The following is a 13,112-nucleotide window of genomic DNA, read 5'->3' as shown; positions in this document are numbered from 1 at the left end:
CCCAAAGAGCTTTCAACTGATTCCTACACTTTGACAACTATGCCTGCACTCTAGCGTAGGGATCCTACAAACTAATGTCTGGCATGTTGGAAAAAGTAACTGGACAGTGATGTAACCTCATCTCAAACCAGAAACCTGCATGCAAAAACCTCACAGAGGGGAGATGGCCAACTCTTCATTTAGTGATGCCTTCAGACAGACCTGCATGGGATATCTCTGATTGTTCTCTCAGGGATTCTAGTCAATACATTAGGAAACTTTAAAATTACTTTAGAAGTGGCAATTACTGAAGCATCATTAAAAATGCATTGAGCCACATGTGTAAGAAAAACTGCACCCGCTGGCCTACTGCTATTCTAAATGGCTTTGTTACTCATACTTTTGGGGTACAACCAGGCTGACGCTGCCTGAAAGAGCACTGCATTGCCCTTTTCCACATCTTGGGGCCTCCTGTCTCCTGAAATGAGGCTGGTGTGAAGCAGCTACCGAGCGTGCCCTGCCCCTGCACGGCAGGCATGGATTCCCCAGCCCTCATCCCCCTTTACCTTGTCATCCTGTGAGTCTGGCTGGAGGAGGCTGTGCTGCTGGATGGCCATGGGTGGCGGCAGGGGCACGGCGTCGGCCCCCTCCTCGCCTTCCTCTTCTCCACAGCTCTGCATCCCCGAGGAGGAGGATTTGGAGAGAGTACCGCTGCTCAGGCCCTCGTTCCGGCCTCTCTGAAATCCAGTCAAGATTTGCTCATTATATTCCAGGCCAGTTCACAGACGTGGACCAAGGGTTACTTGGAGAAGCAAGGTGGGGACAGAGACTGGGATGGCAGAAATCAGGAACAAAGCTATTCTCGACCTCGATGGTAACTTTTCCTCTCTTCCTGCTACCCAATAGCTTTGCTTGTCAACTTGGATGACAGAATGGCCACTGAATGTGTCATGTGTCATATAAAGGGACTGCCAATGTGATCTGTTAGGCTCTGAACACAGCTCATCTTTGAGAAGCCAATTTTTAAAAAGGCTCAAAAATTTGAGCTACAACCCTCATGTTGATTTAGTTCCTTTGGTCCAGCTGATTTCACTTTGGGTATCTTGCTATAGAAAAGTTCACTGAAATAATAAGGGCATAAAAAATATAATCCAAGATGCATTTTAAGCACTGGATTTGAGTATTCTTTTCCTCTATTCTCACTTTTAGAAACAAATTTCAGTTTTAGTTTTCCTAAGAGGACAGAGGTTTATCAAGAATGTACATAATACATCCCAACCCCCACACTGCAACAAAATCTCATGGCAAAAATATGCCCAGGAAAAAAACAGCAGAAAACAGCTATCTGCCAAATAAATCAAATAACACAAATCTCATCCCCACTCTCTGCCTTTTCTTTTTCGAACCTGTGTGAGACTTGAGTCGGGGGTCGATCCAAGTTAATTAAAAACTCTGAGGACCCCTCATTGACACCACCAGTGCTGAAGGCCATCTCCAGCATCCTGAAGGAATTCTGTTTCTTGCAATGTAATTTAAAGCCTCCCTTGTCAATAGGACATAAAAAATCTCTGGCTGACCTACATGCACTTACCTTTGGTGACATGGGAATAACCCAATGTTTACTACTGGGTCAACAAAGTAAATTAACTGGTTATTTTCTACTCAAGACAAGCTGTAAGTATAATAAATATTGGGGAAAAACAATTGGAAAGTGCAAACACTCCACAAGTCCTTCCAAATTTCCAATTTGAGCTTTCTCTGCAAAATGCTGCCACAATGATCAGCTCAGAGACTGCCCAAATCTTCTGCAGACTACACAGAGCCTCTGGCTTTGCTTCATGGTGGAGTGGGGAGGAGAGGGTCCAGAAGCCAAGTCTGGTCTCCCTCCTGGCCCAGGCCTGGGGGCTGACTGGGCCTGGGGCGCATGGTGATCTGTTTTGTTTGTTTGTTTGTTTTTAATCAGAAGCCACACGTGGTCCTGAATGTGCTTACTGGGTTCAATTTTCTTTCAAGTGTCCCCACTAAATCTCAGTCTGCTAAGCAGAGACTTGAATGGTAATTTCTGAGTAAGTGCGGAAAACAGAACCAAACCAGTTTACTCATAAGATCAGCAACTATTCTTGCAGCAAAAGCCCAGCGGGCCCCGCCACGCCGGCCCCAACCAGCGGGCAGAGCCTCACCTCCTCGACCGTCTCGTCCTGCGGGGTGGCCGCACTGTCGTCGGAGTCCTTCTGCGAGCCGGCGTCGGCGCTCTTGCGGACCTCGCGGCTCTTCTTGTGCTTGTGCGCCAGCTTCTTCACGTGCCCGTCGGCCTTGCCGCTGCTGAGCCGCCGCACGGGGCTGGTGAGCCACTTGCGCAGGGTGTTGCCCGGCCGCTTGGGGCCCGGCGAGCTCTGGGCCCCGATCATGTGGGGCTGGAGGGAAGCCACGGATGCGGGTGGACTGGCGTCATTGCTGGAGACGGAGAGCGAGTCTGCCAGGGAGAAAGAGAGGGAGTATCACTGACTCGCACAGACCCTCCGGTGTGAAGACCATGCCATTATCCCGCAGGCTGCAGGGAAGCCAGTGGGCCTGGATGCCTCGTCAGCGGGCTTTGCCTACGGGGTGTGAGATGACAGGGGCTGATGCTTTACACGCACTCTCTTCTCAAATGTGTAGCAAACCTGAGTTCTGCTAGAGATGATCATTCTCAAGATGCACTGTCCTCTCCAAAATCACCCATGTCACCAATCCTGAAGACCAGCATCGTTATCAGCCAGATTTAAGATGTCATTCATCACATAAAATACTGTGGACATTGGTACTGCGGACATTGGAGGACAGAATTTTAAAATCATTTTCACCCATTTTCTTGACAAAAACCAAGAAAGAAGAATGAATTTAAAGGAAATTTTGAGAAGTTTTAGCTATGCCAACTGACATGCTTACTGTAAGCTAATCCTGTCGCAGAAGTGCATTAGTTTGATTCTCTACCAGTGAACAAAAGCAGAATTGTGTAATTATTACGGATAAAATGACAGTGATTTGTCCTGGTGAGACTCTGACCAGCAGCAGCCTCTGGGAGACCAGCATCCAGGACAAAGCCGGCGACTGGAAAGTGGCAGAGCTGGTGGGGCTCTCGGAGGAGCGGCCCTCAGCCTCTTTCCTGTTCACGGCCAGGCCACGGCGGCACACCGGGACTTTGCTCACAGTCTTGAGAAACTTACCACATGTGCTGAAGTAAATATCAGCAACAATGAACAAAAACGCCACCACATTTTAAAAAGAAATGTGAGGGGCCGGGCGCGGTGGCTCACGCCTGTAATCCCAGCACTTTGGGAGGCCGAGGCAGGTGGATCACGAGGTCAGGAGATCGAGACTATCCTGGCTAACATGGTGAAACCCCATCTCTACTAAAAATACAAAAAAATTAGCCGGGTGTGGTGGTGGGCGCCTGTAGTCCCAGCTACTCAGGAGGCTGAGGCAGGAGAATGGTGTGAACCCAGGAGGCGGAGCTTGCGGTGGGCCAAGATCACGCCATCGCACTCCAGCCGGAACGACAGAGCGAAACTGCATCCCCAAAAAAAGAAAAAAGAAAAAAAAGAAAAGAAATGTGAGGAGGGGAAGCCTTCCTCAAATAACCAAAATGCTCTACAGAAAATATATCCAAACCAGCTTCTCATTGGATCTCAAAAATTAAATATAGTCAATCTGGAGTGGATGACATTTCAAGAGAAAAAAGAAAAAAAATCCAATTTTTCTTTGTTTTGTTTTTCAGATGGAGTCTTGCTCTGTCACCCAGGCTGGAGTGCTGTGGCACAATCTCAGCTCACTGCAATCTCTGCCTCCCGGGTTCAAGAGTCTCCCGTCTCAGCCTCCCAAGTAGCTGGAACTACAGACGACTGCCACCATACCCAGCTAATTTTTGTATTCAAAAATCTGAAATTTGGGTGACAGCAGACACTCAGCCAATCCATGGACTTGTGTGACGTCTACTGTACAACTCGCACACCAGTGAGCGTGAAAGCTGCTGGGCCCCTTCCTGAGCTCTTGGCTCAGGGGCTCCACCACGGTGGCATGGAATGAAGTGACCAACTTTAGAAAGCAGAACGGTGACAATGGTGATCATTCACTGTGCTTGCTATCTTCTCAAGTCAAGTAATCTTGTGAGCTACTCCTTTGCACAGATACCTGTAGGGGCTGCACTGCCTCTCTGGCTCTGGACGCCATTCCCTGCTGCAGGTGAACCCTGTGATTACAGGAGCAGAGTTGGCAGCGGTTTCCCACCAAGTGCTTCCGACGCTGGGACTAGACAGCACACGCCCGTCTCACTGCTGTCCCGTTCCTTCCTTCGCCCAAGACACAGATTAGTGAAGATTCCAGAAACAGATGATGCGTTTTAGGCAGGATCATTCATTCTTCAAAATCCAGATTTTTCTCAGAGGCAAACTCTGGTTCAGAACCCATTGATATCTGTTAAAGAATGATAACCCTTTCCCCTCTGTATGTGTGTCTATATTATGTTTGTGTACTTATATGTATATATATTTTCTCATATATTTACTCTATTTTTAAACAAGAGTTACTAAAACATTTCCCTATCAGTCTCACTTTCCTTCGGTGTGGTCTGGAAGGAGGTAGGAAAAGAATGAAATCCATTCCCAGGGACTTTCTCAGGTGCTGATTTAAGATAAAATGCAAATGAGGTAGACACAGTTCCTAGCCTCAGGAAGGACAAAGAGAAGGGGCAGGTTTGGATAATCTATATGTCAGATGACAATTTATTCAACGAATATTTTTTAAAGTACCAACTGCTAGCAGAACCCTGCACTGCTCACAGCAGGTGGAGCAGGTGGCAGATTTCAGAGTCACTTACTGTGCTGTGACTTGGAGCCAAGCCCCCGATTTCCCACTGGACAGAGATAATGAACACCTAGTTTCTTCATCCATGTGACTCAGCACACAGTGGTATTTGGATCACAAAATTATCCTGTACTATAGGCGAGGTACAAACCCTGTTAGGGTTGAGAAGGGGCAACAGGAGGAGGAACCATGGAAGGGTCCCTGAAGGAGATGGCACTGAAGCTGGCCTTTGAGGGAGGTGGGCACAGGTAACCTAGGCACTGGGTCAGGAGAATGGATAAAAGCTCCAGGAAGGCAGGGGCCTCATCTGTCTGGGACCTGAGGTACTTCCAGGGCTCTGCACAGTGCCTGGCATACAGTAGGCACACAAGTATTACATGGAAACATCAGAAATCAACAGTCTAAAGAAACAGCAAGCTGACCCACAGCTCATATTTTAAGGACAGTCTTTTGTTTGACATAGATTCACAACTGCACAAGACAAGGAACTATGAGTGTGGCCCGTGGGGAGGTCGGGAGACAGCCCGGATGCCTGAGATGTGGTGAGGTGTCACCACGGAGCTCTGCTGTGCCTTGGATAAACTGATGGAGGAAAAAAAAAAAAAAAAGACCCAGGCCCACTTATTTTAGTAAAATGAAATCAAGTACAGGTCTTAACATTCATAAGCAGAACACTTACACATCACAACTAGTAGGACCTCAGCCAATAAATCAACCTCACAGACATTTTTGGGCCTGTAAGTTAGAACTTGGGGGGAGTTGGCATAGGAGTGGTATGAAGCCTAAGTGACACCTACCAAGTATTCTGACCTGGTCCCTCTGTCCACCCAGACTTGCAGGGCTACAGAGAAGCAGGCGTGCTCTCGGAAAAGGGCATGCAGGGCAGGCAGGGACGCAGGGCAGCCCTGAAGCACACAGACCTCCCTACTGTTCAGCAGATCCAGCGGCCTCTGCACGCATGAGAGAAGGAACCACAGTCAATTAATAATGCTTTGTGGCACCCAGCTGGCGTTACAAGGATGATTCCCAGGACACTTAGCCTTGCCTGGGAAAGGAGCTAGTTGTTGTAAAAATGGTTCAAGAAGAAAAGGAAATTAAATACGTCATTCCCCAGCTTCTCTCTGTGGGCTCAGCTGCAAGGGATTTGGTTCTTTGCACTTTGGGAAGCTGGTTCGAAAGAGATTTCCTGCTTACCTGGCAGGTTAAGCATTAAAAATGTGGCTATGGCCTAAATGGTCACTCCTAGTACCGGGGGGCGGGGCGGGGGGGGGGGGGGAGGTCAGGGCTGCCCAAGGTGGGAGCTCATCGGTGCCACAGATTAAATGCAAAGGACTGGGTGACAACTGCCATTGATGAGAAGCAGCAGTTCTTGCCCTGAGTTCCTACTTATTGAATGACGGAAGTGACATTCTTTCATTTTGCCGGAATATTTATGACTTAGAAAAATGTTAGCAGTGGTCATAAACTATAAGAAAAATTTTGTGGAATTTAAAAAATTTTACCTTGAGAAAAATTTTGTTTCAGAAGTCTGCAAATGTAGAGGGACAATAATGACCCCTTCTCTTTAACAAGAATGCTCAATTCTTCATGCTATTTGACTCTCTCTGGTGGGGAAAAAACTTTTTTTCTTTTCACAGTAGAAATTCCTTTGGCCTAAATCAATGGAATGTAACAGCCCATGTCTATGCTCTTTGCTGGGTTGTGATACAATGTACACATTAGGAGTTTAAAAAGCTTTAAAAGTCTTTAAACTTAATACCATCATTAACAGAATGAAATAACATATCTATTATTTTTAGCTATCTGAAAAATATAGACTTTGCCCACTAAATCAGCTACTTTGATGCGAATTTTAAATTAAATCCCATGTCCTAATGGTATCTTGAGTAGAATTAAGGTCTCCAGAGTTACTGGGCACAGGATAAGGATATATCACACCATAAACACAGAGCTCTAGAATTCTGAAGTCTCCATGGGAAGATCTTAAATTACTTTTGTGCACACAGTTGCCTTTCCCCAGAAGAGGTCCTGATGGCTGTGAACACAGGAGCATGAGACCCCCTGCCCAGACACCCACACTGTGCAGGCATGCTCCTGTCCTTTTGGCACTGTGTCCTTACTTTTTTGCTCAGGATTTGATTGTGGATGGCTCAAACCCATAACAAGAGCAGCCCTCTGAAGGCGAGCCCTGTGGTCAGAGCCCTGTGTAATCGGCTCATGATCACATTGAGAGGTGACAACATGCTGGCGGCCCTCACTCGTTCTCAGCACCACCTCCACTTCTGCTCTGGCCACGCTTGAGGAGCCCTTCAGCCCACCGCTGCACTGTGGGAGCCCCTCTCTGAGCTGGCTGAGGCTGGAGGGCTCCCTCTGCTTGCACAGAGGTGTGGTGGGAGAGGTGCAGGCGGGAACTGGGGCTGTGTGCGGTGCTCGCAGGCTAGCGCCTGCAAGAGTTCCAGGTGGGCGTGTGCTCAGCGGGCCCTGCACTCCGAGTGGCCAGCCAGCGCCACTGGCCCCAGGCAGCGAGGGGCTTAGCACCTGGGCCAGCAGCTGCAGAGGGTGTGCCGGGTCCCCCAGCACTGCCAGCCAGCCCGCCCGCACCGCGCTTGAATTCTCGCCAGGCCTCAGCCACCTCCCCGCGGGGCAGGGCTTGGGACCTGCAGCCCACCATGCCCAAGCCCCACTGCGGTGGGCTCCCACGCAGCCTGAGCCTCCGCAGCGCCCGGTCCCATCGACTGCCCAAGGGCTGAGGAGTGCAGGTGTGCAGTGCGGGACTGGCGGGCAGCTCCGCCTGTGGCCCTGGTGCAGGATCCACTAGGCAAAGCCAGCTGGGCTCCTGAGTCGGGTGGGGACTTGGAGAACTTTTATGTCTAGCTGGAGGATTGTAAATGTACCAATCAGCACTCTGTGTCTAGCTCAGGGTTCATGGATGCACCAATCAGCACTCTGTATCTAGCTAATCTGGTGGGGAGTTGGAGAACATTTATGTTTAGTTAAAGGATTGTAAATACACCAATCAGCACTCTGTGTCTAGCTCAAGGTTTGTAAATGCACCAATCAGCACTCTGTGTCTAGCTAATCTAGTGGGGCCTTGGAGAACTTTTATGTCTAGCTAAAGGATTGTAAATACACCAATCCACTCTGTGTCTAGCTCAAGGTTTGTAAATGCACCAATCAGCACCCTGTGTCTAGCTTAAGGTTTGTAAATGCACCAATCGCTGCTCTGTGTCTAGTTAATCTAGTGGGGACTTGGAGAACTTTTACGTCTAGCTAGAGGATTGTAAATACACCAATCAGCACTCTGTGTCTAGCTCAGGGATTGTAAACGCACCAATCAGCACCCTGTCAAAATGGACCAATCAGCTCTCTGTAAAATCGGCGAATCGGCTCTCTGCAAAATGGACCAATCAGCAGGATGTGGGTGGGGTCAGATAAGGGAATAAAAGCAGGCTGCCCAAGCCAGCAGCGGCAACCCATTTGGGTCCCCTTCCACACTGTGGAAGCTTTATCTTTGCAATAAATCTTGCTGCTACTCACTCTTTGGGTCCGCACTGCCTTTATGAGCTATAACACTCACCGCGAAGGTCTGCAGCTTCACTCCTGAGGCCAGCGAGACCACGAACCCACCGGGACGAATGAACAACTCTGGACAAGAGATACAAACAACTCCAGACGTGCCACCTTAAGCGCTGTAACACTCACCGCGAAGGTCTGCAGCTTCACTCCTGAAGCCAGTGAGCCCACGAACCCACCAAAAGGAAGAAACTCCAAACACGTCTGAACATCAGAAGGAACAACCTCCGGACACACCATCTTTAAAAACTGTAACACCACGAAGATCCACGGCTTCATTCTTGAAGTCAGTGAGACCAAGAACCCAACAATTTCGGACACAACATTTTCCTAGCTGGGCAACTGTGAAGGCAGGAAGCCAACCATGACCTTAGACTCCAGGGCACCATGTCTGGTTGTTTCTAACTACATACCCAGCTGCCAGCAGGCAGCGTGGCATACACCTGGAGCTTAATGAGTATACACTGAATAAATGACAAACAGGTGAGCCAACAAACCAGCTGCAAGCTATTATTTCTCAGCCTATGCATACTGACTGATAAGTCAACCACTATGAATGGTGATGTCCTGAGTTACTGGTATATCCTGATCAGTTTTGAAGTGAACACAAGTAACATCTAATTTTAGTCAAGTTCATGAGTTTGTGAATTATTTATTCAAAGATGATAATTCAAAGCAAATAAGGCAACCCTTCTAGCGACTCATCTCTCACTTGTGTTACTGCTTTGCTGTCTCAGAAGGCAGAGTCCAGACTAAGTGTACGTGAACACTGCCTGTCATGTAAAGCAGTGTCGGGGTGGGGGCTCAGGACAGAACTGACCTGAGAAATACCATGAAAGATCAATCTGGGCAGGGCACGGTGGCTCACGCCTGTAATCCCAGCACTTTGGGAGGCTGATGCAGGTGGATCACTTGAGGTCAGGAGTTCGAGACCAGCCTGGCCAACATGATGAAACCCTGTTTCTACTAAAATTACAAAAATTAGTTGGCATCGTGTCGCATGCCTGTAGTCCCAGCTACTCGGGAAGCTGAGGCAGGAGAGTCGCTTGAACCCAGGAGGCAGAGGTTGCAGTGAGCCAGAATTGTGCCACCGCACTCCAGTCTGGGTGAGTGAGACCCTGTCTCAAAAAAAAAAAGATGCATCTATTATGCAAAGAAATAGTTACTCATCTCTTGCCTTTCCCTCAACTCCTATCACCTTGGAAGAAAAAAAAGTCAACTAACTCTCAGTCCTGCTTTTTCACCCCATCGCTAACTTTCTCATCAGCAAGAATGCCTTCAGTTCCCACTAAGCCTGGTTTGGGAATGTGCTTCCCCCTTTCCAGCCTGGGGAAACCCGCTGATCCAAGGCCCAGATGGATGATCCATAAGGGATGTCAGAAAGAATGCTGGACTTGTCAAAGGGCCTGAGTGAACCTGGCACTCCCACTACACAGCAAACATTCTGGCATGTGAGTTTCCACATCTCACAGGGTTGTAATAGGATTAAATGAAATAATGGGAACAAACAAACTTCATAAACTGTTAAGTGTTTATAAATGTAGGATGGCTGAGGCATAAAGGACTCCATGATAGCACAGAACTCACTACATTGTATTTACATCAACTGTGAGTACCCAGAAAATGAGAATTAGGTTTCATCACAATTAGATTTGTAACTGCAGGCCTAACATGGCGTCTAGGATGTACTAAAAATCACTTTTAATATGAAGGATGAATGAAGCAATCTAGATGAATTACTTCAATTCTATTTCTATTTTTAAAATAGAACAAAGTAAACTTGAGCACAAGATACTATCAGCACATCGCAGTCACTTAAAAAGATGTTCAGCTGTGCGCATGAGAAAGCCATCTGTGATCTGCTTGAAGCACCAAGAGAAAGTCAATTCAAATTCATTCCTTCTTATTTTGAGGAGGGAAAAATCCTTACATAGATGGCTTCCTTGCTGAAATAAGAGTTCAAAAAAAGTCCATGCTAGATTTCTTTTTAAATAAAAAAAGAAAAAAAAGGTAAAGAAAGAAGAGAAAGCAGAAGTGCTGACATTCAGCCCCACGCAGGAGAGAGTTTCACCATGTGAACACACAAAACACGGGGACTGCCAGGACAAGAGAGGCTGTTTTCTAGGCCCAGTCTGTAAATTTGGGACATCTGTGATTAATAAAAACCTTAAAAAAAAAGTTTTTTTTAAAAAAAGGAGGGAAAGGACCATATCCTGCTGGTCGCAGACCAAGGAGGATCATGTTTCACTTTAACCCTCTCTTTATTTTCACAATGGTAAAAAAGTCTTAAAGACTTCTGAGTGTTCTAGAGTAACAACTGCATTGCTGAGCAGAGTAGTAAGCCAAACTAAAAACTTCAGCCTCTGAATTTGAAAAGGTTTCACCCAAATCTCTGCATGTCTTCCATTTCTCAGTCTCACCAGCATGGAAGCACCAGGAGAAGTGGCTTTTGCTGCCTTGTGTGTGCTGTATATCTGGAGTTTAAAGTCTGCCTGGCACATGCATGTGTTCAATAGGTATTTGCCTGGTGTGGTCTTTACAGATGAGTGGACACTCAAGGCCACCGGGCCGGGGTTCCACTAACACCCCTGCCACCTGCTGGGTGTGGGTTCTTATGAGTCAATGACCCCCTTTTTGCTTCAGTTTCTTGATGTGTAAAATGACAGTGATTCCTCTAGCCTTTACCAGGCTGCTGGGGGGAAAAGGTATGAAAAAAGTCTTTGGAAACTTATAGCCTAACACAGTATGAGGGAATACTCACACTGATGTGTAGGAAAAAGCTGCAGAAGGCTGAGGAAGAAAGCAGGATGAAGCAGAGCGGCGAGACGACGAATCTAAGGACAAGCGCCCCAGGCCCAGAGTGGGAAGAAGAGCTGGGGCTGTGAAGGCCGGGCCTCCTTGGACAGCCAGGGTCACAAACCCCACAAGGTCACCAAGCCTCTGCTGTGACTGGCAGCCCTCATGCCACATAACGTCAGCCAAACATGCACACATGTGGGTCTGCTGCCGATTGACAGCCAGGGCGTTTCCGATGAGACAGGGCCACCCACGGATGCCCTGCTCAACAGCAGGAGAGTTCCGGTGAACATCTGTCTTGCATTGCAAATTCTCCACGCTGTCTCCCCCAAAGGATTTTAGCTAGCTTATGTTAAAGACAGATATTCCCATCTTACTGTCCATTGTAGGTGTTCAAAAATATCTGTCAAATGAACAATGAAATGATGTCTTGATAAAAACTCTAACCAGGATACAGCACAACTCAGAGGCAAGTTCTTGAAGCAAAGGGCTAGTTTAAAATTCTAGTTGTAAGGATTTAAAGAAATGTTCACTTAGCAGTTATTGCTATGTGCTGATGAAAGCTAATTCAAAGGCACTTTGCAGCAACTGCTTCTAATGTCTGAAAATAACTCCATCAGACTATTTGAAAAGAGGGCAGTCCCGGTGTAATCAGGTATAACTGGCCTATAGCAATTTCTCAAACTTCTGTCTTGTCAAGAATTTGATGCAATAAATCACATTTTTATTCAGGAAGTTCTTCCACCATACAAGGGAGGCTGTAAGGCAAATGTGAAAATCAGATCTATAAATTACTTAAAAAGAATAATCAAATTCTTAGCTTATGACTGTTGACGGTGTTGGTTCAAATGTTCTAGAGCAAAATTTCTGAGTAAATGATTGTCATCTCTACACTTTCAAACTGGATTTGAATTCCATGCTTTTGGAATCAAGGTGGCCTTTTTTTTTTTGAATAAAGAAAAGACCACAGTGCACTAGAAATTCTCTTACAGATCACATAAAAACTGAGTTAATCTGTAAGTTAATCCTCTGGATGCAACTTCCAGGGACTGCATCTTCTCTGCATCTTACACAGTGATTATAATCATCCCCTGGGCAATGCATATTGAATTAAAATGATGATGATGAGACAAAGCTGGGGTATTACTTGGGAAATCTTAAGCAACTGACTTGCCCAGTAATACAGTTACCCTTTTGGTGGTTCGGAATATACAAGTATTTTTAAAACATTTCTCCAAACTTAAATCTATATTCTATTTGTGAGCAAGTATCTGGAGAGGTTTCTTGGCTGACTTCTATGTGTTCATTCCAGTTACCTTGCTCTTACATATGTTTGGTGTATCATCTGTCTGTGAGTACTAGTGAGTCTTAATTTGTTCCTCTGGAAAAGAAAGATTCATCAGGGGTTGAAACACCAGATTTAGAATGGACACTGCGTCCCCAGGGGTTCTCTCCTTCTCTGCACATACCTGGGTTCCAGGGCTTTATTCTGGGCTGCAACTGTTTGTTATGCTGTCATGTCAGCATGGGAAATCTTTACAACAGCCAGAGAAGCACTGAGCGTGAGTCTGGAGAATGGTAATGACTGAAAATGTGGCAAAAGACTATTAAAAGCAAATTTTACATATTGCACAGTGGGTCCTAAATGCAAAAATATGAACTCTGTCTTTGCTTTCAAATATGAATTGAACACAGAAAACATGAAGGAGAAAGTTAAATTCCCCAGGTTTTTTTTTTCTTAAATAATCCCAAGATTCAACCAGAGGCCCAACACAGCACTGCCACGGCTCATGCTGTAATGAAGAACACATGGTCTTTGCCGCCTGAGAAGGGCCAACACTTCCACCGTTCCCTGCGCAGCCCCTCCCACAAATTCAGTGGGGAGCTTTCACCAGCAGACACCTCCAGGTGACCCTGAATGC

The 13,112-nt window shown here is 46.7% G+C and overlaps 1 protein-coding gene across 11 annotated transcripts in view; it reads right to left on the bottom strand.

Annotated features, from left to right (window-relative positions):
- TRIO (trio Rho guanine nucleotide exchange factor) overlaps window positions 1–13,112 on the bottom strand; it is a 366,863-nt gene that overhangs the window by 46,734 nt on the left and 307,017 nt on the right. For all 11 annotated transcript variants that reach the window (NR_134469.2, XM_047417679.1, NM_007118.4 and 8 more), the window contains 2 exons: window positions 2,160–2,452; window positions 546–716 (listed from right to left, as the gene is read on the bottom strand). Coding sequence is in view for 10 of the 11 variants with exons in the window: in XM_047417679.1 (XP_047273635.1) it covers window positions 546–716; window positions 2,160–2,452 (464 nt within the window). In the remaining variant the exon portion in view is untranslated. The remainder of the gene's footprint in view (window positions 1–545; window positions 717–2,159; window positions 2,453–13,112) is intronic.

Source organism: Homo sapiens, chromosome 5 (genome assembly GCF_000001405.40).
Source record: "Homo sapiens chromosome 5, GRCh38.p14 Primary Assembly".
Classification (NCBI taxonomy): Eukaryota; Metazoa; Chordata; class Mammalia; order Primates; family Hominidae; genus Homo; species Homo sapiens.
This window is presented reverse-complemented; position numbering and strand designations above follow the sequence as displayed.